The 22,765-nt window shown below is 38.6% G+C and overlaps 2 pseudogenes across 1 annotated transcript in view, besides 1 other annotated feature; one reads left to right on the plus strand and one right to left on the minus strand.

Moving 5' to 3' along the window:
• Positions 1-22,765, minus strand: part of RSU1P2 (Ras suppressor protein 1 pseudogene 2) — a 55,121-nt pseudogene that overhangs the window by 27,353 nt on the left and 5,003 nt on the right. Inside the window, exons 3-4 of the transcript NR_024472.1 lie at positions 20,000-20,117; positions 15,267-15,326 (exon numbers count right to left, since the gene is read on the minus strand). The product of NR_024472.1 is annotated as a Ras suppressor protein 1 pseudogene 2 (transcript). The remainder of the gene's footprint in view (positions 1-15,266; positions 15,327-19,999; positions 20,118-22,765) is intronic.
• Positions 489-22,086, plus strand: CUBNP3 (cubilin pseudogene 3; annotated as a pseudogene).
• Positions 7,819-8,019: a silencer, noted in NCBI's record as "peak939 fragment used in MPRA reporter construct". NCBI's record gives its function as "represses an SCP1 promoter by STARR-seq MPRAs in K562 erythroleukemia cells {active_cell/tissue: K562}" and the evidence as "EXISTENCE:reporter gene assay evidence [ECO:0000049][PMID:32103011]".

Here is a 22,765-nt window from a genome sequence, read left to right on the forward strand (position 1 = left end):
TTCAATGCTATTCAATGCATTGAATGTTAAAACCCAGATTCTCACCGTGTGCAATTTGTCAGTGGCCAATGTGGAAGAACTCAGAAGTGCTCCTTAAAAAATACTGAGGTCTCGGGGCAGGCACAGTGGCTCATGTCTGGAATCCTAGCACTCTGGGAGGCCGAGGCGGGTGCTCTGGAGTTCGAGACCAGCCTGGGCAAGCTGGGCAACAGAGGGAGACTTCATCTCACAAAAAAAAAAAAAAAAAAAAAAAGGCAGGGTGGTAAAGAAAAGGACAGGCAGCACCATTGCAAGGACAGGTAGCACCATTGCAAGCTGGAGCCAAAATGATATCACCCCTGATGGGTCCTCCTTTTTGAGAATCCCATTATCTCCTATGAATCCTGATGTTCTGAAAAAAATGTGTGAGCTGCTTGGCTAAGTTGCAAATGATGGTAGAGTAGATTCTCAGGACTGTATTTTCATGCTGTTTCCTTTCTTTCAATGTAGGAGACAATGACTTGGCCCAGCAGCTAGCAGTTCTCTGTGGCAGAGAGATCCCTGGGCCCATCCGGTCTACTGAGAGTACACATTCATCCGCTTCACCTTGGACTCCAGTGTAACCAGGGCAGGCTTCAATGCATCCTTTCACAAGAGTAATGAGTTTAAATATTTTTTTAATCCCATGTTATCCCATCTCCTCTCCTTTCCTCTCTCTTTCTCTCTTCTTAATATAGTTTTCTGGGCACCAGGACGCAAGGCAAGTCAGAGGACATGGGTCTCTGCCCAGGTTCTGGATGGCTGGCTCCCCTTATGTCAATGCTGAGTCCTGATCCAAAGCACTGTGGCCAAGTAGTACAAAAGTGTCCTGCCTTAAGGTCTCTGGGTGGGGCATCTTCACTCCAGAGGAGGTGTGTCCATGGAATGCATGAGAGAGAGCTTTAAAGCAATTTTTCAGCCTAACTAAGGGCTGGAACTAGAGCACAGCTCATATCCATAACTCATCGAAGGAGCAAAACATCATCATTTATCCTTATAAATTACTTGGTTAAAGTCATCCATTTGAGGGTTGGCAGGAAGAGTTTGTTGCTCTTGAAATATGAACTTGATGAGTCAAAAACAGGCACCATATATGGGATGCCATCATGCACAATATGATTGAGACTTTTAAAACTTGACATGTGAAGTCCAGTAACAGCCTTAAATCCAAATCAAATGAAAAGTAATAAAGTAGTCCATGGAAGAGTGAAAGACTCCCATGTTTTTAACTGTAAAACATAATTTTAAAGTAGATTCTCAATCTAACATTAAAAATTAATCTAATATTTCCTCCATGCTTATATATACCTTTTATAAAGTAGGGAGCAACTGACGATAAATTGTGTTCCTCACGCTCAACAGAGGAAGGCTGCATAGTGGCTTAAGAGCATGGGCTTTGGAATTAGACCTAAGATAAATTTTCACCTCTGCAATTTAACTAGCTCTGTGAGCTGTCTACCTTTCCTTGCTGATGAGCTTCTAGTCCCTGAAAACTGGAGAATTAATGCCTGCTCCTTTCATCCTCTTCCTTCATCTCCTGCCCTCTCACTCTCATGTATATATTAATATGTATGGCAGTTCATTATACATACATACATATGTATATGTATATAGTGATGGTAGAACCATTGTAATTTATTTGTATGTGTGTATATATGTGTGTGTATGTATGTATATAATATATATAAATATGTGTGTGTATCTATGAGTGTGTGTGTGTATATATGTGTGTGTATATATATATATATACATGGCAGCTCATGGTCTAGAATATATTTCAAATTTAACCTGTGATATAATGGACTTTGGAGACTCATAAGCAAGGAGGATGGGTGGGGTATGAGAGATAAAAAACTATATGTTGGGTGTAATGTATACTAGTCAGGTAACTAGTGCACTAAAACCTGAGACTTCACCAGTATGCAATTCATCCGTGTAACCAAAAACCACTTGTACCCCAATTAGATAGATAGATAGATAGATGGATAGATAGATAGATAGATAGATAATTCATAACAAAAAAAATTAACCTTTGAAAACTGAACACTTAATTCCCACCCTTTTCCATGCCACTACCCCCGCCCCCAGTTCTACACTCCTCACAATGTTAGCAAATGGAAAGTACATTTTTCTCATTATTTAAGGCAAAAATCTTGATGTTATTTTTGATGTTTCTGTTGGTCTCATACTTAACCATCAACAAATCACACTGGCTCTACCCTCACAATGTATCTAGATTTCAACCACGCCCCTCCATTTCTGTTGCTACCAGCCTAGCCCATGCGCCTATCATCTCTCCTTGGCCTCAGGCAGTCCCCTTTTTATTGGACACTCTGCTCCTGCCCTTTGCTGCCCTCCACTCCTTACAGTTTAAGGACTGCACATAGAGTGATATTTTCAAATGTAAGTGAGATCATGCCATTCTGAGGCCCAAAACACTTTGTCTTCCTCTTCTTACTCAGAGTAAGTCTTTTCAGTTTCCAGCATGACCTAGACATGCTGCTACCTTTGGAATCTCTCATTCTGCCTCATCCATTCTGACTTCCATGATGTACCTCTACCACATCAAGCCTTTACACTAACTGTTTTCTGAACTGGAATGTTTTCTCCCACATATCCATCTGGCTTGATTCTTTTATTTCATTAATGTCTCTGCTAAGATGTTACTCCAATGACGTGGCTTTTCCAACTTAACTCTGACAATAAAGTACCCTTCTCCCTCCTCCCGTCCATTTTTCTTTATAGAATTTATCACCATCTCACATATTATGTATTTGTTTATTTTATGTCTTCCCCATCTATAAAGAAATCTTTATGAAAGTAGGTAATTTGTCTTCATTACTTACCTCTATATCCCATATCTCAGTCAACCACCACAAACTGAGTAGCCAATAGCATATGCTCAATACATGCTTGTTATACTAATCATTTCCTACACTCTGGCTTTATTTTCAAGAATTTTTATTGCCTACACTTTGAAAACCCCCCAAGAAAACTAAGAAAGCATAAAAATCCAGTTGCCAATCCTATTTAAATAATCTACCTTTGTTTCTTTGTGGGAAGGCTGCGGCGGATATTTGCATGCAGACACGGGATCATTACGTCCCCCAAGTATCCGGAGACCTACCCATCCAACCTCAACTGTTCTTGGCACGTCCTGGTCCAAAGTGGCCTGACCATTGCTGTCCATTTTGAACAGCCTTTCCGAGATTCTTCTTGCAACCAGGGGGATTACTTGGTGGTAGGTCTTGCTTGCTACCCTTTCTAATTACGTTTTCCATAGACTTCATTCAGAAAACAAAATGATAATTTTTCTCTCCTGGGACATAAATGGATAAGAATTATGTACTCTTTCTTTTGCAATGTAAAGGAGTTGATGCAATTTTAATTTGTCTTTCCAGCTAAGAAATGGTCCTGATATCTATCCTCCACCCTTCGGACCCTGTGGAGGAAATGTTCATTTTTGTGGCAGTCGTGCTTCATCGACTCTGTTCACCTCGGATAATCAAATGTTTGTTCAGTTTATTTCTGATTAGAGTAATGAAGGGCAAGGATTTCAGATCAAATATGGGGAAAAGAGTTTACGTAAGTATTTTCACTGAGAATTATATATACTTTTCCTGCAATTGCTTGGTCTTCTTTGATTAAATAGATTTGAGAAAAAACATATAAAGTTTTCTTTTCTGAACTAACAGTAATAGAATTAATAAGAATGCCTACTCTCAAGTACTTATTATGTTTGATACATTCAATATCTCATCGTGACTACTTTTCAAGTAAAGTATCATTATTTCGATTTTAAAGATAAGTAAAATGAGGCTTGGACTTTTCCAAGGCCACATATCTAATTAGTGACCAAAGTGAAATGTTCCATGAGTATAAGATACGCTATTCTTCTTGATCCCTGAAATTCCTTAGACCTTTCCATTATAAGATGTCTAATTGTAAGTTAAATCTAGTTATAGAAACATTATAAGAATTACATTTGCCCTATTTTGTAATAATGTGTATGCTGTTTTTAAAAGAATACATAATCTTTTGATTCTATTATTACTGATTTAATTATATATTACCTAAGATCTTTACTTAATTGCTTGTACTTAATTACACTTGATTATAATTGCATTTAATTTTACTGTAATGATTTGATTTTGGGGACATTTACTTTTTAGTAATGTTTAATTGAATAAATAAATAAATAAATAAATAGGCATCACTTCCAAAAAACGGAGTAATGTCAGTAGAAAGCAATATAATAATAAATTTTTGCTCTGTCCCACCAGAAGTTAGATAATATAGATTTCAAAATGATCCTATTACTTGTATCCCAGATTCCTAAATGCATTTATATATATATATATATATCAGTGAAATCATGTTTTATTGCACATTGTATGAAATTTAAAGTCAACATCATTTCTTCATTTTGCTAAAAGAAATGAGTAAGAGTGTTTACCAACTGACACACAAAAATAATCGAATAGCTGGAGTAAGGTCCAAAACACCAGAGAAGGGGCTTTGGTCACTTCCCAGTGCACAGAGCTGTGGCACAAGGAGGGAGCTTTAATGCAGCTCTGTGGGCATCTGCACTATGGCTTTCTAGGCTGGGACCTTCTCATCCCTCCCTCTCTCCATGCTGAGCTTTGCAGCTGAGTCATGAATTGGCAGGTTTTCACCTGGTACCAAAGCATTTCAAGAGTAGCAGTGTCTTGAGTCTAGTGAGTAGATGTCAGCCCATCCTATAGGACTCTACTTTTCTATTTTTATTTATGATAAACTCAGTCTTTTTTTCTTTCTTGAGACAGGGTCTTGCTCTGTCACCCAGGCTGGAGTGCAGTGGTGCAATCTCAGCTCACTGCAACCTCTGCCTCCCAGGCTCAAGTGATTCTCCTTACTCAGCCTCCCTAGAAGCTGGGATTACAGGTATGTATCATCACGCCCAGCTAATTTTTGTATTTTTGGTAGAGATGGGGTTTCATCATGTTGCCCAGGCTAGTCTTGAACTCCTGAGCTCAGGTAAGCCAGCTGCCTCAGCCTCCCAAAGTGCTGTGATTACTGGAGTGAGCCATTGTGCCCAGCCAATAGACTTAGTCTTGATTTAAATTTTTAAAGTCAACATTTAATGGTAATTCAGATACACTATTTGACATTGCACCTCTTCTATTTCTTTGTGGACTCACTGTTCATGCAAGTATGGTCATGGCTGTTGCTTTCTCCCTATCTTTCTTGAAGCTTGTTATGACTGCCGTTAACATCAGACTTAAACAAAAGTATTTTGATTTCACAACCTATTGTTGGCAACCTGAAACAACAGCATCACTCTTATTTCTCTCTACTTACCAACTCAATCATGTTCCATAACTATAGTCAGCCTTCTACTTCCCACATCTATCTGGCTATCTTCCCACCATATCTACTTCCATGCCACTCCTATTTCTCAGCCTTTAACATAGGTCCTTTTGTGAACATCTTTCGACACTGAATCACCTAGTTTTATACCGTTTTTCTCCAGAGACACTCCTTCGCTATGGTTGATTGAGATTTCTAGGATCCTGTGGTAGATGCCTTTTATTCTCACCAGATTAATAGGCCTATTAATTAATCAATCAAACATTTACAAAGTGTTTCACATCATGAAAACTACTAGAGTTCTGGCAAGGAGTTCACAGCTTGGTAGACGAGACAGACAAGCAAAGGCACAGTTAGAACATGATGTAGGGCTGGACACGGTGGTTCATGCCTGTAATCCCAGCACTTCAGGAAGCCAAGGCAGGAGGATCACTTAAGCTTAGGAGTTTGAGACCAACCTGGGCAACACAGAAAGACCTTGTCTCTACCAAAAAATTTTTTAAAGTAGCTGGGCATGGTGGCACACTTCTGTGGTGCCAGCTACTCAGTAAGCTGAGTTGGGAGGATCACTTGAGCCCGGGCAATTGAGGCTGCAGTGAGCCATGATCATACCATGGCACTCCAGCCTGGGTGACAGAGCAAGACCCTGTCTCAAAAAAAAAAAAAAAAAAAAAAGAACATGGTATATGGTATATGGTATAATAAGCGCTACGTACAGAACAGAAACACCTACTTCAGCCCAGGACATCAGAGAGGGCTCCAGAGGAAGTAGATGAAGAGATTTGCCAATCAGTGATAAAAAGATGTGAGTGCATAGAAAGTCTCAATGTTAAAAGTCATATTTAATAATTTGAAAGAATTCACCACTGCTTTGGAATAGAGTCAAAAAGAGGTAAACATAATAGTGATGAAGCAGGCAGGAATCACTGTGCTCAGGGCCATGGATGCCACCGTAAGTTAGTTAGATGTTAATCAAAAAGTAATGGGAGGCATTGGAAGATTTTACTCCAAAGCCTGAACAGTGTGATCAGATTAAAAACACTAATGTGGCTGCAACACTGAAAACATTGGAGGCAGGGAAGACTAAAGAGAGAGAGACCAGATGAAAGAGTAATTTAGGAAAAAATATTACTCCCTGAACTAAGGCAATGCCAGTAAGAAAGTAGGAGAGAGGGCATATCAAATATATTATCAACACGGGATGGAGTGAATTTGGAGGTCAGCTGGATGTGAGGCAGGAGGGAAGGGATGGGAGGAGCCTTAGGAGCAGTTGTTAGGTTTTTGGCTGGGTGGATCCATTCATCCCACAGACATTTATTAAGAACTTTCCATGGGACAGACACTGTATTAGGTCCCGGGGATATAGCAGTAAACAAACAAAATCCATGTCCTCATGGAGCCTAATCCTAGTGTTAAGACGTAGACAATAAATAAGTAAAATATATAACATGCCATATGGTGAAAGGTATCCAGGAGAAAAATAAGGCAGTAAGGGTGGATACAGAGTGTCCATAGGAAGAGGGGCTGATGCTGTCATCAGCAGACTCAGGTATGGAACTCTGGATGATGAGCAAATGAGAGTGTTCATTTGAGACATCTTCAGTTTGAAACTTCTGAATTACCCCCATTGGAGATGCCCAGTAAGTGGTCGGAACAGGAGTTTGGAGGACAGAACAGGGGTCTAGACTGAATCTGTAAATATCAACAGAATTTGAATTATCCAGAATTTGGAATTATCAATAGACTGCTTACAGTTTAAGTCATTAGGATGTATAACAGCAATTGGGGAATTATTTAGAGTGAGAAGAAAGGCCTACAGGAGGATTCCTGAGGGCCTTCAGCAATGTCAGGGAAGCCCTGAAGAGAGGCGCCCAAGAACCAGAGGCAGAATGATGCGAGGAGTAAAAGGAGGAGAAGAGCTTGGTGTCACAGAAGCCAAGCGACAAAAATGTAAAGAAAGACAACGTGATCAACAATGTTAAATGCTGTGGATATAAAATAATAATTTAAAAAGTCATTTGGGCATATAACTGCGAGGTGACTTGGGAGAACATGAGTGCTTTCATAGGGTTGAAGAAAGAAGGGCGAAAAGAGAGAAAGAGAGAGACAGACAGACAGACAGAGAGATTAAATAGACCAGGATCCCGGAGGAGACAATAGGATGGGAACTTGATCCAGAGATACAGGAAGATAATATACAGAGGAGAAAATAGAGTGTAGAGATGTGGATGAATTTATTAAGGATAGTAACAAATGAAGGCTAAAAAATGGAAGGGATTATTATGTAATTTCTTCTATTTTCTTTGTAAAGTGGAGCCTAATGTAGTGTGCTGAGAACCAAAAGGAATTGGGGAAAGTCAAGGGTTTATGGAGTAAAGTTACAAAAGGCTGTTGTAGTTTATATGAAAAGAAATGGGTGAATTGCTTCGCAGTGTTGAGATGGGAGAACGTATATTTGCAGAGGCATCAGTTTCCATGAATGAATGGATTGACTTGAACACAACCACGGAGTTGGTATTTTGCAAGGGAAGTCTGAAGGAAAGACATGAAGCAAGGGAGCTGGAGGTCATCAAAGGGATTTGCAATTTAGAGTTTCAGAGATGGGGGAGTTGGAGGTATTGACAGAATTCAGGATGTGACTGTAAGTGGATGAGTGACAGTGGACATAAATGTTGCTAGAGTTGAGCAGATCAAGTATCTGTGTGGCTAAGTGATTGGACAGGTTAATTTCACTGGCATTGTAAGTACATTTACTCCTGTCTGGTTTGTTTGTTGAAAATGCCAAAGAATATTTATTGATAATAGAAAAGTATTTTTTGATAATACTTTGTTTTTTTTTAGAAAAGAAGTATTAAAAAGCTCCTTTATCTTCTGGCAAAACATGGCTAATAAATTGTCTGATGCCATTGATCTTGTTTCTCAAATGCATCTAAATCCCGAAGAAATGTAATGAATGAATGCTCCCAGAGTTGTGCAAAGATATATCTGCTTAGTCTTTTAAATATACCAAGATCATAGCTCTGCATCATTCTGCTGTACTGAACGCTCAGTGGGAAGCGGTAACTGCTAGCATACTTACATGCTTATCGAAGTGCTGGATATTTATTCATGCTTCTGTGATGTTCTGCCCCATGCACATGTGCCATAATCATTTGGTTGGTTTTAAGAAAGAATGAAATTTCCAATGAGAATAGATAGATGGTCTGGCAAATTAAAAAGTGTCACACCTGGTAGCTCCCTCCATAGCAAATAGAGAATTCATTTGCTGGGAAAAAAATGAGGATCATAACAGATGAAAGGAAATTGAGACAAGTTACAGAGAATTCGACTTTAAAAGATGATTTGTGTCCATTAAATGCATCTCCTTCACCAGATCGTAGACTGATTTAACTGTGTTTGCTGACAGCCTGTGGGGGCAACATCTACATCCATGAAGCTGATTCTGCTGGGTATGTGACCTCCCCCAGCCACCCTGATAATTATCCCCCTGCACGCTGATTGCATTTGGATCTTAGCGGTTCCACCGGAAACACGCATACGGCTGCAATTTGAAGGTCAATTCGATATTGAAGTAACACCCAAGTATGTCACTTCCATTTTCATTTTTTTCCTACCCGAAGTTAGTATTTTTTAACTGTCATGTCTCAGAACAATTCATTTCTTTCAGTAGCACATACTGCAAGCAAATCTAGGGAAAAAGGGAAATGCTTAATAACTCAGGCCTGAAAACAGTCTGCCAGCAACTCTCTCATCAGCTGAGCAGGTTATGTACATGGGTACTGTCCTTTGTGAACCTAGACACTTCCTGCAAGGGACGCTGAGGGTGGCTACTTGAGATTGATGTTTATCCATTCTTCCTCCCACAGGAAATATATCGTGTTTCTGAGAGATGAATATTTATTTGCCCAGCCTCGTATTCAGTGTCACAAATGATAAAATGTCTGTTTAACAAATGGGAATTTGTGTGGTATGTCACCAGGGGTCACCAGTGTCAGAACAGTACTAAAGCACTTACAGTATAATTTCCCAGTCTTTATTTAATAAGAGTTCTGAAAGTATTACAAAACAGAGAGTAACTCTTACTATATTGAAGAGAAAGGAAAACTATATAGATTGTAAAAAAACTGTTTTTCTCTTTCCTTTAACAAAGTGTGTATACGTTTGCATGAATGCAGCTGTGGTGCAAAACTTAGATATAAGAGCTTTTGTTGCTATTTCTGGCACTGGATTTAATACTACTCTTCCACTCATGGAGCATTAATTAGCTGATGTAACTTCCTCGAGAAACGCTAGATACATGCTTGTCTACTTTTACGGACACAGAAAATTCCGGTTGGGACTCTCCGTTAGTCCCAATTACAGAGCTGTTAGAGAATTTATCTTTGTCATGTGAAATGTATCAAATCACTGTGTGGAACAAAATACTCGTTGTTTTTTGAAATTCGTAGGGATTAATTTGAAAACAACATTTATATTTGTAAAAGCAATACAGAATATGGAAGGGAAGTAAATATTCTTCAATGTAGGACATGTAAACCCTGTCTTTTTGAGCTGCTAATGAAAGAATGTATTACTATGAAAAATGTCATACAGCATTTTAATGTGACACGTGGCTTACGCTGATTCTATCATAGTCTTTTATGCTAAGAAATGATGATTTAATAATATCGTCAAAGAAAGTAAGTGAAGTTGTCATTATCAAAATAAGTCAAGGCAATTGACCATGTAAATTTAACATAATTTTGTTTCCGCTTTAACTGTACTTCTAACTACCTCTAGTTGTGGGATGGAGTGGATTCAGATGCACCAATACTTTCCAAATTTTGTGGGACATCTTTGCCCAGCAGTCAGTGGTCCTTAGGAGAGGTTATGTATTTGAGATTTCGATCTGACAACAGCCCCAATCATATGGGATTCAAGGTCAAGTATTCTATAGATTATATATATTTTTTAACTTTTATTTTAGGTTCAGGGGTACATGTGCAGGTTTGTTATATAGGTAAACTTGTGCCATGGGGCTGGTTATAAAGATTATTTCATCACCCAGGTACTAAGCCTAGTATCTAATAGTTATTTTTTCTGCTCCTCTCTCTTCTCCCACCCTCCACCCTATCAAATGAAAACAACATCCCATGCTCATAGATCGGAAGAATCAATATCATTAAAATGGCCATACTGCCCCCCCAAATTTACAGATTCAATGCTATTCCTATCAAACTACCATGACATTCTTCACAGAACTAGAAAAAAACTATTTTAAAACTCCTATGGACCCCAGAAAAACCCAAATAACCAAGGCAGTCCTAAACTAAAAGAACAAAGCTGGAGCCATCACAATACCTGACTTGAAACTATACTACAGGGGTACAGTAACGAAAACAGCATGGTACTGGTACAAAAATAGACACATAGACCAATAAAATGGAATAGAGAGCTCAGAAATAGGGCCTCACACCTACAGGCATCTGATCTTCAACAAAGCTGACAAAAGCAAGCAATGGGGAAAAGACTCCCTATCCAATAAATGATGCTGGGAGAACTGGCTAGCAATATGTGGAAGATTGAAACTGGACCCCTTCCTTATACCATATACAAAAATCAATTCAAGATGGATTAAAGACGTAACTGTAAAACATAAAACTATAAGAACCCTGGAAAACATTTTTATGTTAAATAAAAGAGTGGTTATAGAATGAATATGTTAAAACTTTTTTTTAAACCATGACTTTTTAAAAAGAAGTCATTCTATCTGCCTAATTTTAAAAATATTTTAATGCTAGAAATAAGGAGTGTAAATGTTTAAAACCACAGTCATCAACTTTAATTTCTCTTTTAATTTTTATTTTAAAATGTAATCTTAGTAAACCTGAATATTTTATATTTTTTCTAACTTATCTGGGAAGAAATATGTGTAGTTAAATCAAACTCCTGTTTCTCCTGCTTACTATGAAATTCAGTAGTTCTCTCTTATCCATGGTTTCATGTTCCATGGTTTCAATGCACTTGGTAAACAGAGGCCCAAAAAATAGGTGAGTACAGTACACCAAGATATTTTGAGAGACCACATTTACGTAACTTTTCTTACAGTATATTGTTATGATTGTTCTATTTTATTATTAGTTATTGTTGTTAATCTCTTACTATGTTTAATTTACAAAGTAAACTTTATCATAGGCACATATATATAGAAAAAAATCGTCTATATGTCTATATAGGGTTTGGTAATATCTGAGGTTTTAGGCACTCACTGGGGGACTTGGAATGTATCCCCCAAGGAAAAGGAAGAACTACAGTGTGTTTATTACTTTAAGTAATACAACTATTTAAGAACCAGATAACTATATTTAGAACAATGTCTTTGAATTCCTCATCATATATAAAATAATTAAGCTTTTTTTTTTTCTCTGAGTCTCTAGTGCCAAATCAGTCACTGGATAAAAAGCAAATATATCTCTTCAGGATTTTGATTTCCTTATTTAAAAATTGAGCAGTAACTTTGCTTGTTGAAGATTCACTATAGTATGGTCACAATAGCACAGAATTTAGTATCTAATAGGTCTAGACACAAACCAAACAAATATTTAATATAGCAAAAGTTCAGAAAGCCTAGTTGTAACAATATTTAGCTACACCATAGATCATGTTATATCCCGAGTCAAGCTGCATATAATTCAATTAGCTATCACATCCAGCTAATAAGACATAATTGAATAGTAATTTTCAAGGCCTTGAGATATCAGTTATTGTAGTGAACAGTTTAATTGATAGTAAAACTAGAAATGGCAGGTGTCCCCCCTTCCAGCTAAGCTTGGGTTCAGTCTTTAGAATCAACACAGGGTTCTAGGCAGGTCAGATGAGTCTACCAGTTTGTTCTTGAGATGAAACTTGCTTGCAACTAATAGCTCTTATATAGTGTCCCAAAAGAATTAATGTGACATTACAGAATATGCCATTTGGCCGTCATCTTGTTTCCCATTATTGGATTGGACTTGTGGTATCATTTCTGTTTATATCAACCCTAGAATTCAAATAATGAGGAAAGCACTAACCATTTTCAGAATTTTAAAAACTTCAATTCATAGTCACTTGGCACCTAAGTTTTCACATGTGCTGGTGAAATGAAAAAAAAAAAAAAACAAAATTTGTAATAGAATCTTTCTTTCTTTCTTTCTGTGTTTCTTTCTTTCTTTCTTTCTTTTTCTTTCTTTTCTTTCTTTTCTTTTTCTTTCTTTCTTTCTTTTTCCAGCTCAGTGTGGGGGGAAGAGTAACAGGGCAAAGTGGTGTTGTTGAAAGCATTGGCCATCTAACGCTTCCATATAGAGACAACTTATTCTGTGAGTGGCATCTCCAGGGGCTCTCCAGACACTATCTCACCAACTCTTTCGAAGATTTTAACCTTCAGAATTCCTCTGGCTGTGAAAAAGACTTTGTGGAGATCTGGGACTATCATACTTCTGGTTAGTGAAATATATCTGCTCTCTTTGGGGTGTTTATTTTCGCATGTACTTATTCAGCCTCTGAAGTTTCTGCACTTCCGAGAAAGGCAAAAGCATGTCTATACTCTGCAGAGAAGTGCAGATTAATGAGCTTTGGGCAGTACCAGTGATTCTCTACCTCAATTCTACCATTACAATGGATGTCCAGAGCCCAGGTGTCATATAGCCTACCCTGGAGGCCACCTGGGGAGAGCAATGGTAGTGGGAAGGCAACCTGTTGCTGCTGAGGCATCCCATTGCCACATGCCATTATTTGAGGGGTGTTCTATAGCTTGAGGCAGACAGAGGGTCATGCATGTCTCCTGGCAGTAGCATAAGGCAGATATTTGTCACTCTGTTTGTCTCAGACCACTTTTTCAACCAGATAAGCAAGCCTTCCTCATTGTCCTGAGATATCCTTCCCCTAACTGGTTGCATTTTTTTCACTTCTTCATATATTTGAACATGTTAATTTTCATTCATGTTTTCCTGTTTTCTTGACAGAGAGTAACTTTTCTTCATGGGCAAGGTCTTGTTTTTTATTATTTTCTTTGTATACGCAGGACACCTCGAATAGAGGTTAAAAGAAATCAATCACCTGGACATATATATTTAATTATTTGTCTCTCACAGGAAACATCTTGGGAAGATACTGTGCAAACACCATTCCTGACAGCATAGACACTTCTAGCAATACTGCCGTGGTCAGGTTTGTCATAGACGGCTCTCTGACTGCCTCAGGATTCAGACTGCAATTTGAATCCAGCATGGAAGGTGATTTCATTGATTAATTCAAAACAACATTGAGCACCTGCATTGGACAGACACTATGCTAGGCACTGGTGTTACAATAGTTTGAAAAGCAAAATAAAACATGACCTCTATCTTCTTGGACCTTAATCAAAAAGTTACACTGACAAATGAAAAATTACAGCTGTGATCAATGCTATAAGGGAAAACTAGTTATAATAAGAGGATGAGAGTTATACTGCAATGCTTGCCTTAAGAAAGTCCTGTAGTTACTCAGAATTTGCTTTACTGCAAATCCAACAAACTCAGATGAAATAAAGATCTTGTTTGGAAAAACTGGATACTTACATTAACCTCCTGATTTTCCTGATTTTTTTTTTTTGTAAAAATAGGGTCTTGCCTTGGCCTCCCAAAGTGTTGGGGTTACAGGCTTGAGTCACCACTCCTGGCTGATTGCCCTGATTCTTTTTTTTTTTTTTTTTTTTTTGAGATGGAGTCTCACTCTGTCACCCAGGCTGGAGTGCAATGGTGCGATGTCAGCTCACTGCAACCTCTGCCTCCCGGGTTCAAGCGATTCTCCTGCCTCAGCCTCCTGAGTAGCTGGGATTATAGGTGCCCGCCACCACGCCCGGCTAATTTTTGTATTTTTAGTAGAGACGGGATTTTACCATGTTGGTCAGGCTGGTCTTGAACTCCTGACCTAGTGATCTGCCCGCCTTGGGCTCTCAAAGTGCTGGGATTACAGGTGTGAGCCACCACACCCGACCCGATTTTCCTGATTCTTAAGTTCATTATATTCATTGGTCTCTTATATTTCTTGGGTCATGATGATAATTAAATTGCTGTCTGTGGACTATCATCCATGGAAGCCAGGGTTAAATATTAATAGAGATAGGAAATGAATGTATATATTCACTAAAATCCTCACACACATAAATATGGAGAATAATTTTGTCTAGAAGGGTAATTTTTAAATACCTGAATTTTGAGAGCTTTCCCGATGGAAGGAGATATTTTGATTTGATTGGAAGTTTTCTTGGCTTTTTTTCCCCCACACCAGAGTGTGGTGGGGATCTCAGGGCTCTGCTGGAACATCTACTTCTCCCAACTACCCGAACCTAAATCCTCATGGCCGGATCTACGAGTGGAGAATCACCGCCCCAGAAGGAAGGCAGATCACCCTAACGTTTAGCAACCTGAGGCTGGCCACGCATCTGTCCTGCAACAGTGAGCATGTGATAGTAAGCGTTCCCTGTGGCCTGAGATGTTATATTCCATCATTTAAGGAGTTTACTGACCCATAAATCATAGTCAGAAAACTAGGTCAGGAAAATTGCTGTCTATGCAACTATAACTCAGACAAATTCTAAGTATTGTTGAGAGAACAAAACACGGTAAACTGTCAAAATAATTGTAAACATTGTTTTAAGAGACTATCAGCTATCACTCCATGCATGAGGGTCATAGATAGAATACATTTTAAGAGTGAATGATAATGACAAATGGCAAAACCGGGGAGGCTGTGGGAAGCTAAGCCTACAGGAGCACATAGATGAATGGGACCAGAGTCACAGCACAAGCCACCACCGAAAGTTCTGAGCAGATGGGTTGTCCTGCATAATGACTGCTCTTTCCAGGGGTGCAGAGGGACTCCTGGTGGGAGAGCACTACTACCTGACCTCCATGTCGCCAACCTCCAGTGGTTTCAGATGTGCCCTCAGCACTCTCAGCTTCCTGCAGTGAAAGAAAGCAAATGAGATCCCTGAGTGTGAATAACAAATAGATTGTTAACTGTGAAGTGCTATACATACATATGTGTGTGTAGATAGGTAGACTGGATTAATATTAGTACATTTCTCCACCCAACTTGCCCCTTCTGCAGTATATGCTATCTCAGTAAATAATTCCAAACTTCTGGTTGCTAAGGTCAAAAATCTTGATGTCTATTTTGGAATACTTCCTCTCACACCCTATATGGCATCTACAAGCAAGTCCTCTCACACCCTATATGGCATCTATAAGCAAGTATCTTTAAAAATATTCACAAACTACTTGTTATATCTACTACTGCCACCCCCACCGTTCACTTGGATTATTTTATAAGTTCCCTCTGGTGCCCCTGCCTCCATTCTCATCTCCCTACATTCTCAACACAGCAGCATGTGATGGTTTTAAACCTCAATCAGATCATGTTGCTCCCTTTGAAAATCCTCTAATGGCTTCTCATCTCACTCAGAGGAAAATCCCAAATTGCACCTGTGGCCCACCTGGCCAACATTATCTGCTGCCCCTCCCTCTTCTACCTGTCTGTGTTATCTCAAACTCCCCTCTTCTCTGCTCGCTGGGGTCCAGGCACCTGGCCTCCATTCCGTTCCTTGAATGTGCTGAGATGCTCCCTGTCCAGCTGTTGCCTTCATCTGGAATGCCCCTGTTCAGATGGCAGCCCGCTCCACACCCTCACTTCATTCAGGTCTCTGCTTGAATGCCTTTTAATCCATAGGGTGTAAGTATCTTATATTACAGACCCCACCCTAGCCTGACACTTCTCTGCCATGTTGTTTTATAGCACTTTACAACTGCTGCCATACATCATTTTGATTTGTTCATCAGTTTATTGTCTGCTTCCCCCACTAGAATGTAAGCTCCTTGAGCTCAAGCCATAGTTTCATTCACTGCTGGGGACTCACTGAATCCCCAATGCCTGTATATAATAGAGATAAATAATTGTTGAATGAATGGATAGTAGAGGTACTATCATTATCCCTTTAATAAGAAGCCACTTTTGTTTTCAGTTTAATTGTCTCCTGTTGGGTGGTGAATCTCAAAAATATGAAATATATTTGTAACTTATGACCACTTTGTATCACCCTAAAATGATCTCATTCAACCTTCAGATTTTATTTCCAAGTTCTAATATCTGAAGGACGGAACTATTGTCTTTCAGATCTTGAAAATAAGAAACCAAGTGTGTTTTCTTTTATTTGAGAGCCAGGAAATTTTGGACTAAGGTTGTTTATTATAAAGAAACTTTGTTTCCTATTATTGATTGAATATATATAAAGAAAGATGAAGTAGAAAAAATACTAACCACTCCCACTATACCATATTTTGATGCATTTTCTCATCTCTTCTTGGCAAAGCATATTTTAGGTACTTGTAATCATGTGATATAAATCCACTTGAATTCTAATTTTAGTCTATTTTTCTGGTTATAAATATCATGGATGCTTATTGAGCAATATTTGGAGAGTTCAGAAAATAAAAAATATAAAGATATTTTTAATTCTACTCATCTATTACTAAAATTTAGATATATATGCTAACAGTTGTTTTTTACCTTTGAAATTATTTTTATAGTTTAAATCATACTGAATATAATGATTATTAGGAATTTTACAAGCAGAGTATTAACATGTCCTTTAGGAAAGAGAATACGAACAGTCATAGTTTTGGAACTCAAATAAAGATAAAAGTTATAGCCACAACCACAAATTCCAAAGCAGATCTTACTTGTCATCTCTCTATACCTTAATTATCAACTTATAACTCTTGCAGCTACTGCTGGTGGGTTTTATGTCCTTATTTCTAAATAATATTCCTATTCTACTACTCCTTGCTTTTTTTGGACATTATCTATCCACATCCTACTCTGGAAGATGAGAATTAGCCCTCTGCCACCACAAATGCACATGGGGTATACACAGTTTATATACTTTCCCAAAAGTCCCCCAAAATACATATGTCACAGCTTTTGCTGAAATTGTCATTCAGTTGACATTACCATGATTATGTAAACACCATTCACAACTGAGCCAAGTAGTGTACTATGGCAACATTTGCTTTTGTTTTCCCAAGGAATAATAATAATTGTGCCCTCTTTACATTTTCTTGGGTTTTACGCATTGATCACTAATTCTTCCACACCCTTTCCACCCTAGGTGTGCATCTTAACCTTCTGTAGTAAAACATGTCAGTTCCATTTCTTTTCCTCAGTAATATCCTTCCTTGAGCCTTTGTCCATCAGCTGCAAGCCTGATGATAGCTGTCATTTCAGAATTTCCCTTTGCCATCAGATTTGCAAGTTCCTTCATTCTGCTCCTGGGCTAGAAAGCTGGCTTTGTGTTGCTATGTACATCCCTTTCTTGGTTAATTTCCTCTTTTGTGAGGCATACCCTCTTGTAACTCCCCAAGGAAATGGGCAAGGGCAATACATATTTTAAGAAATGATATACCTGAAATTATCTTTATTTTACCATCGTTCTTCGAAAAATATATATTTAAATATTTTATATGTTCACTATATTAATATATCCATGAATATATTAATAATTTTGAAGTTTTGTGTGGCTTATCTGGGGTCAGTTTTCTTCATGTTCCTATCTCGTGTTTACTTATATTGGTCTCTGCCTTTTACATTAGTCACTTCCCTAAATATCTGCTGATCCTTGGCTATTCATTCATATTTAAGAATGAATTACTGAAAGGATGACTGGCATCTCTGTATGCATGAGGGTGCCTTGACTCTTTAAATAGGGAAACCTACAAACCTACAAATCTCATATCCACAGGTCTTTTCTCTTGGGGAGGTTAAAACTCCAGCAAGGAATCACTCTAAGAACTAATTTTTTTCTGAATCTTTAGCATAATGTCCACATTCCTTTTTCTAAAATATATTTTTATATGTTCAATGTTTATTTTGGTTCCTCTTTACTCTGCTCCAAACAAGGGCATGTGGGTTGGCCTTTGCCCCCACTCTATTTGATTGAGAACTTGCCAAAAAAAGGAAGAAGAAAGATGAAAGAGGGAGAAGAAGGAGAAGCAGGATGAGAAGGAGGAGAAGAAGAGGGAGAAGGAGAGGGAGAAGGAGACAGAGGGAGAAGGGGAAGGAGAAAAAAAGGAGAAGGAGAAAAGGGGAAGAAGAAGAAGGAGAAAGAGAAGGAAGAGGAGACTGAGAAGGAGAGGGAGAAAGAGAAAAGAAGAAGGAGAAGAAAAAAAAAGAGTAAAGAAGAAAGAAGATCTGCTGGTGCAGAGGCAGCTTTAACTTTCATTGCACTGCTTCGTGGCTAATGCCTTATCCAGCTGGTCTGAGCCTAAAATTTCTCCAAAGCCACCTGCCTATCTGACTCTCTGTACAGACAGAGAAAATGAAAAGCTATGCCACCCGGTGTGACCTACAATATGACCTATATCTGATTTTGTCCCGTTCATAGCAAATTTTATAGCCTGTCCTAAATCTCACGTACCTACAGCCTATCCATTTGTATTCTGAGAGTTGTAGTTTCTGAGTACAAAAGGGATTAGAGGACAATGATGGGAATTGCATTCTGGTTGCTTCTAACAGCAGAAGTCCATGTGATAAATGGATGACTATAACATGTTCAGTCATTGTGATTCTACGCCAAAGGCAGACTCAGAGGCAGGATAACAGCCATTGATCATGGTTTCCAACATGTACTGTTAACCTTGCAGTTGGTTCTAATACCTTTTGATTTTGGCAATGTGATGCCCATTCCTGTTTTCAGCATTATAGAAATATTTGTCCTCATCTGTTTCTTTATACACTACTTCATGGTTTGGAATCAGAAGGATGGTTTGAATCCCAGTTCTATTATTACTAATTATTTGAACTTCAGCAAATTACATCATCTTTCTGAATTCTGGTATCTTAATCTGGAAAACAGGGATACTATTATCTGCCTGGGAGGGTGTTGTGCTGATTAGATAAGACAGACTGAGTAGATGATGAGCAAAGACTGGCATTTTTGCCTGCTCAGTAAATGATAGCAAACTCTTCTTCTGGTCCCATGAGCCGGAAGACACTTTAGACCAGAAGCCTCCAGACAGCTAAATTTAATTAATTATAGTAAATTTTAAAAGCTGACATCTTTTGTTGTGGAGTGCATTCTCCTACTGCATAACTTTTAGTGCCATAGTCTGAGTCATTATTTCTAATCTTGAGTCATTCAAATCCTTTTAAACACTGGAATATCAATCACTCAATCAATGAATTATTGTTTAGTTATTTCATCTAAATGTTTTTTTTGATTTTGTACAGCATTGGAACAATGTTTGCCAATTATTGTAACTATGTGAATGACTACAGTTATTATTTAATATTTTGGAGTCAATAATAATCCATTCTTAAAAACTCAACTGAGTAAGAAAATTGAAGCTTTGAATCCATAACTAATAAGGAAAGAACTATTATGTTTAATTGCATATGGAGATTGATTTTTCAAATTACTTTTCAAGGTATTTAAAAATATCTGCTTGCTGGTCATGGTGGCTCACACCTGTAATCCCAGCACTTTGGGAAGCCGAGGCAGGTGGATAGCTTGAGGTCAGGAGTTCGAGACCAGCCTGACCAACATGGTGAAACCCCATCTCTACTAAAAATACAAAATTACCTGGGCACAGTGGTGCATGCCTGCAATCCCAGCTACTTGGGAGGGTGAGGCAGGAGAAACGCTTGAACCTGGGAGGCAGAGGTTGCAGTGAGCCGAGATCATGCCATCGCACTCCAGCCTGGGCAACAAGAGCAAAACTGCATCTCAATAAATAAATAAATAAATAAATAAATAAAAATTAAAATAAACAAAAACATCTGCTTTATTATATACATCAAATAATCAGAAACTAACATTTAAGCTTCCTTTCCAAATAACGAAAGTCCTGATGCATTGTTAAGAAAAACTGCCCATCAGTGAGCTCTGCACACCACATTGTAAGCACGATGGCTTATCTCCTTTACATTGGGAGCTCGGTTTCCAGTTCCAAACTGTATAGCAGCTTTTAATCTATGACCACATGGCAGGAAGGCATTACTGCAATACTTTCATTCTAGTGAAATCACCCTGAGGTCACAAAATGTGTTCAGGGTAACATAGTGGCTTGTGGCACTGGGATAGAAACCTGCATTGTTAGGTCATTCATTTTAGGGGAGGGTTCCCATAGAAGGAAGTAGGTCTGGGCTGGGAATATCACCTCCTAGGAAATATGCAGTAAGATGGATTGTGTGTCTAAAGGTTAAACTCTTTTTCCAACAGGTATTCAATGGCATTAGAAGTAACTCACCCCAGCTAGAGAAACTGTGTAGTAGTGTGAATGTAAGCAGTGAGATTAAATCTTCAGGAAACACAATGAAAGTCATTTTTTTCACAGATGGATCTAGGCCGTATGGAGGATTCACTGCTTCTCATACCTCCAGTGAAGATGCAGATAAAGTGGGATGTTGTAAATGTACTTCATTTTAATCAGGTGCATTGCAGATGCCCCCCAGCTACTGCCAATGGCAGCAGAGCCATCCATTTTCCCTTTAGTGATCAAAGTTCACTTGGAATCTTTGACATAAGACAAACACATATAAGCAGATCAAAAACTTACTGCAGACAGAAAAAAAGCTTTCTGATTTCAGGAAGAAGCTGCTATGGTGAATTTAAAACTTGTAATGCCATTAGATGAGCTTCTAGCACAGTTTCAGTCATGTTACCATGAGGATTGGTGTGACCTGTTCCATATTCCGTGGTCCATTATTTGGTGCTGAAAGAGACCATCTACCTCCTAGAAGGTAACTTAGTCTCGGAGAGTAATTAATTTTGCTGGGGACAGAACAGGCTTTATTGTTTCTGGTCGTCTATTCACACACGTATTTCCAGTGAAAATAAATGGGAGGTTTGATTTGATATAGAATATTTCAAAATTAAGCAAGATATGGCCTCTAATTATAAATATCCTCCTATTTCCTGGATTGGTGCTATTATCTAAGGGTTTTAAAATTTAGAAGTGGGAGTGAATATTTAAAAAAACCCACTAAGTTATTTCACTGGTACAGGAAGCATCTGTTCCTTTATTAAAAGGGGGCAAATTCATTGGTAGGCCAAGGTCCTATTATCTGTCTGATTTAAATTAAATTATTAGATCAAGTGGAGAATTGCTAATCAAGCCATTAGGACCTGCCACCGTTATATTTGGGTATTCCTCTAAATTAAATATTAATGAGCACAGGGCCTCAATATTTGGACAAATTGATACAGAGCCAAACCCCAGCCACCTGATCTACACCAACAGGAAAATAGAGAAGTTGTTGATTTTTGCACATTTTTCCTTTTTAAACTTGCAGAAACTTCCATAATTTGCATGCCTTTTACCCATAATCCTGATTGCATCTAGAAAAACAAATCAAAGCAGTAATGTTGATGTTTTAGTTACTGTTCCTATATTGTTTATCTCTTCTGTTGTGGCCTGAATCTTACTACTACTTTCTGTTGCCTTCTGTTTTCTTAGTGTGTGGTGGGTCTCTTCCAAATACTCCTGAAGGAAACTTTACTTCTCCTGGCTATGATGGAGTCAGGAATTACTCGAGAAACCTAAACTGTGAATGGACTCTCAGCAATCCAAATCAGGGAAATTCATCTATTTATATTCATTTTGAAGATTTTTACCTAGAAAGTCACCAAGACTGTCAATTTGATGTCCTTGAGTTTCGAGTGGGTGAGTTCTAAGAACACATTCTCCCATTTATCTACAATATTCTTTTTATCTTTTTGTTGTTGTGGCTGCTGTTGTTGTTTTGAGACAGGAGCTCACTCTCTGCCCAGACTGGTTGTGGGCAGTCCAAACCTTGGGATAATTTGTTGTAGGAAGATTGAGGTAACCTCTTTTGCCCTCTTGGTGGTGGTGGGAAAGGCTTCAATCTGCCTGTTGAAAGTGGTCAACAGGGGTGAGGATATAGTCATGTTTCTTGAGAGGGGGCATATGAATGAAATCAATTTTCCAGGTTTGTAGTGGCCTCTGAACACTGGAAGGTGCCCTTTAGCTTGATTTCTCGGCTAAGTGGGTGGTCTGAGTGCTCCCTGGAAAGAAACTTGTTTGCAGATGGTACGGGCCTGCGTGAGTTGTTGAAAGGTGGTGGCCATGGCAGGAGACTGCAGGTGAGGTTATAAAAACTGAAGCAGAGGACGATAGCTGGTGTGAAAGAGGCTGTGAATGTGAGTGAGTTTGGATTTTTTCTGGGACATGGGCAAAACGAGCTTATTGTCTAGAAAGAACCAGCCCTCCGTTTTTGTGGCCCCAGCCAAAGAAAGATTGAGGCTTTCTCCTTGTGAGTATGAGGGCTGTTGAGCTGGGAAACAGGTAGTATGGGATGGGGCTTAAGGGCTGACTGTTTAGCTGCA

The sequence above is a fragment of the Homo sapiens genome, chromosome 10 (assembly GCF_000001405.40).
Source record: "Homo sapiens chromosome 10, GRCh38.p14 Primary Assembly".
Taxonomy (NCBI): domain Eukaryota; kingdom Metazoa; phylum Chordata; class Mammalia; order Primates; family Hominidae; genus Homo; species Homo sapiens.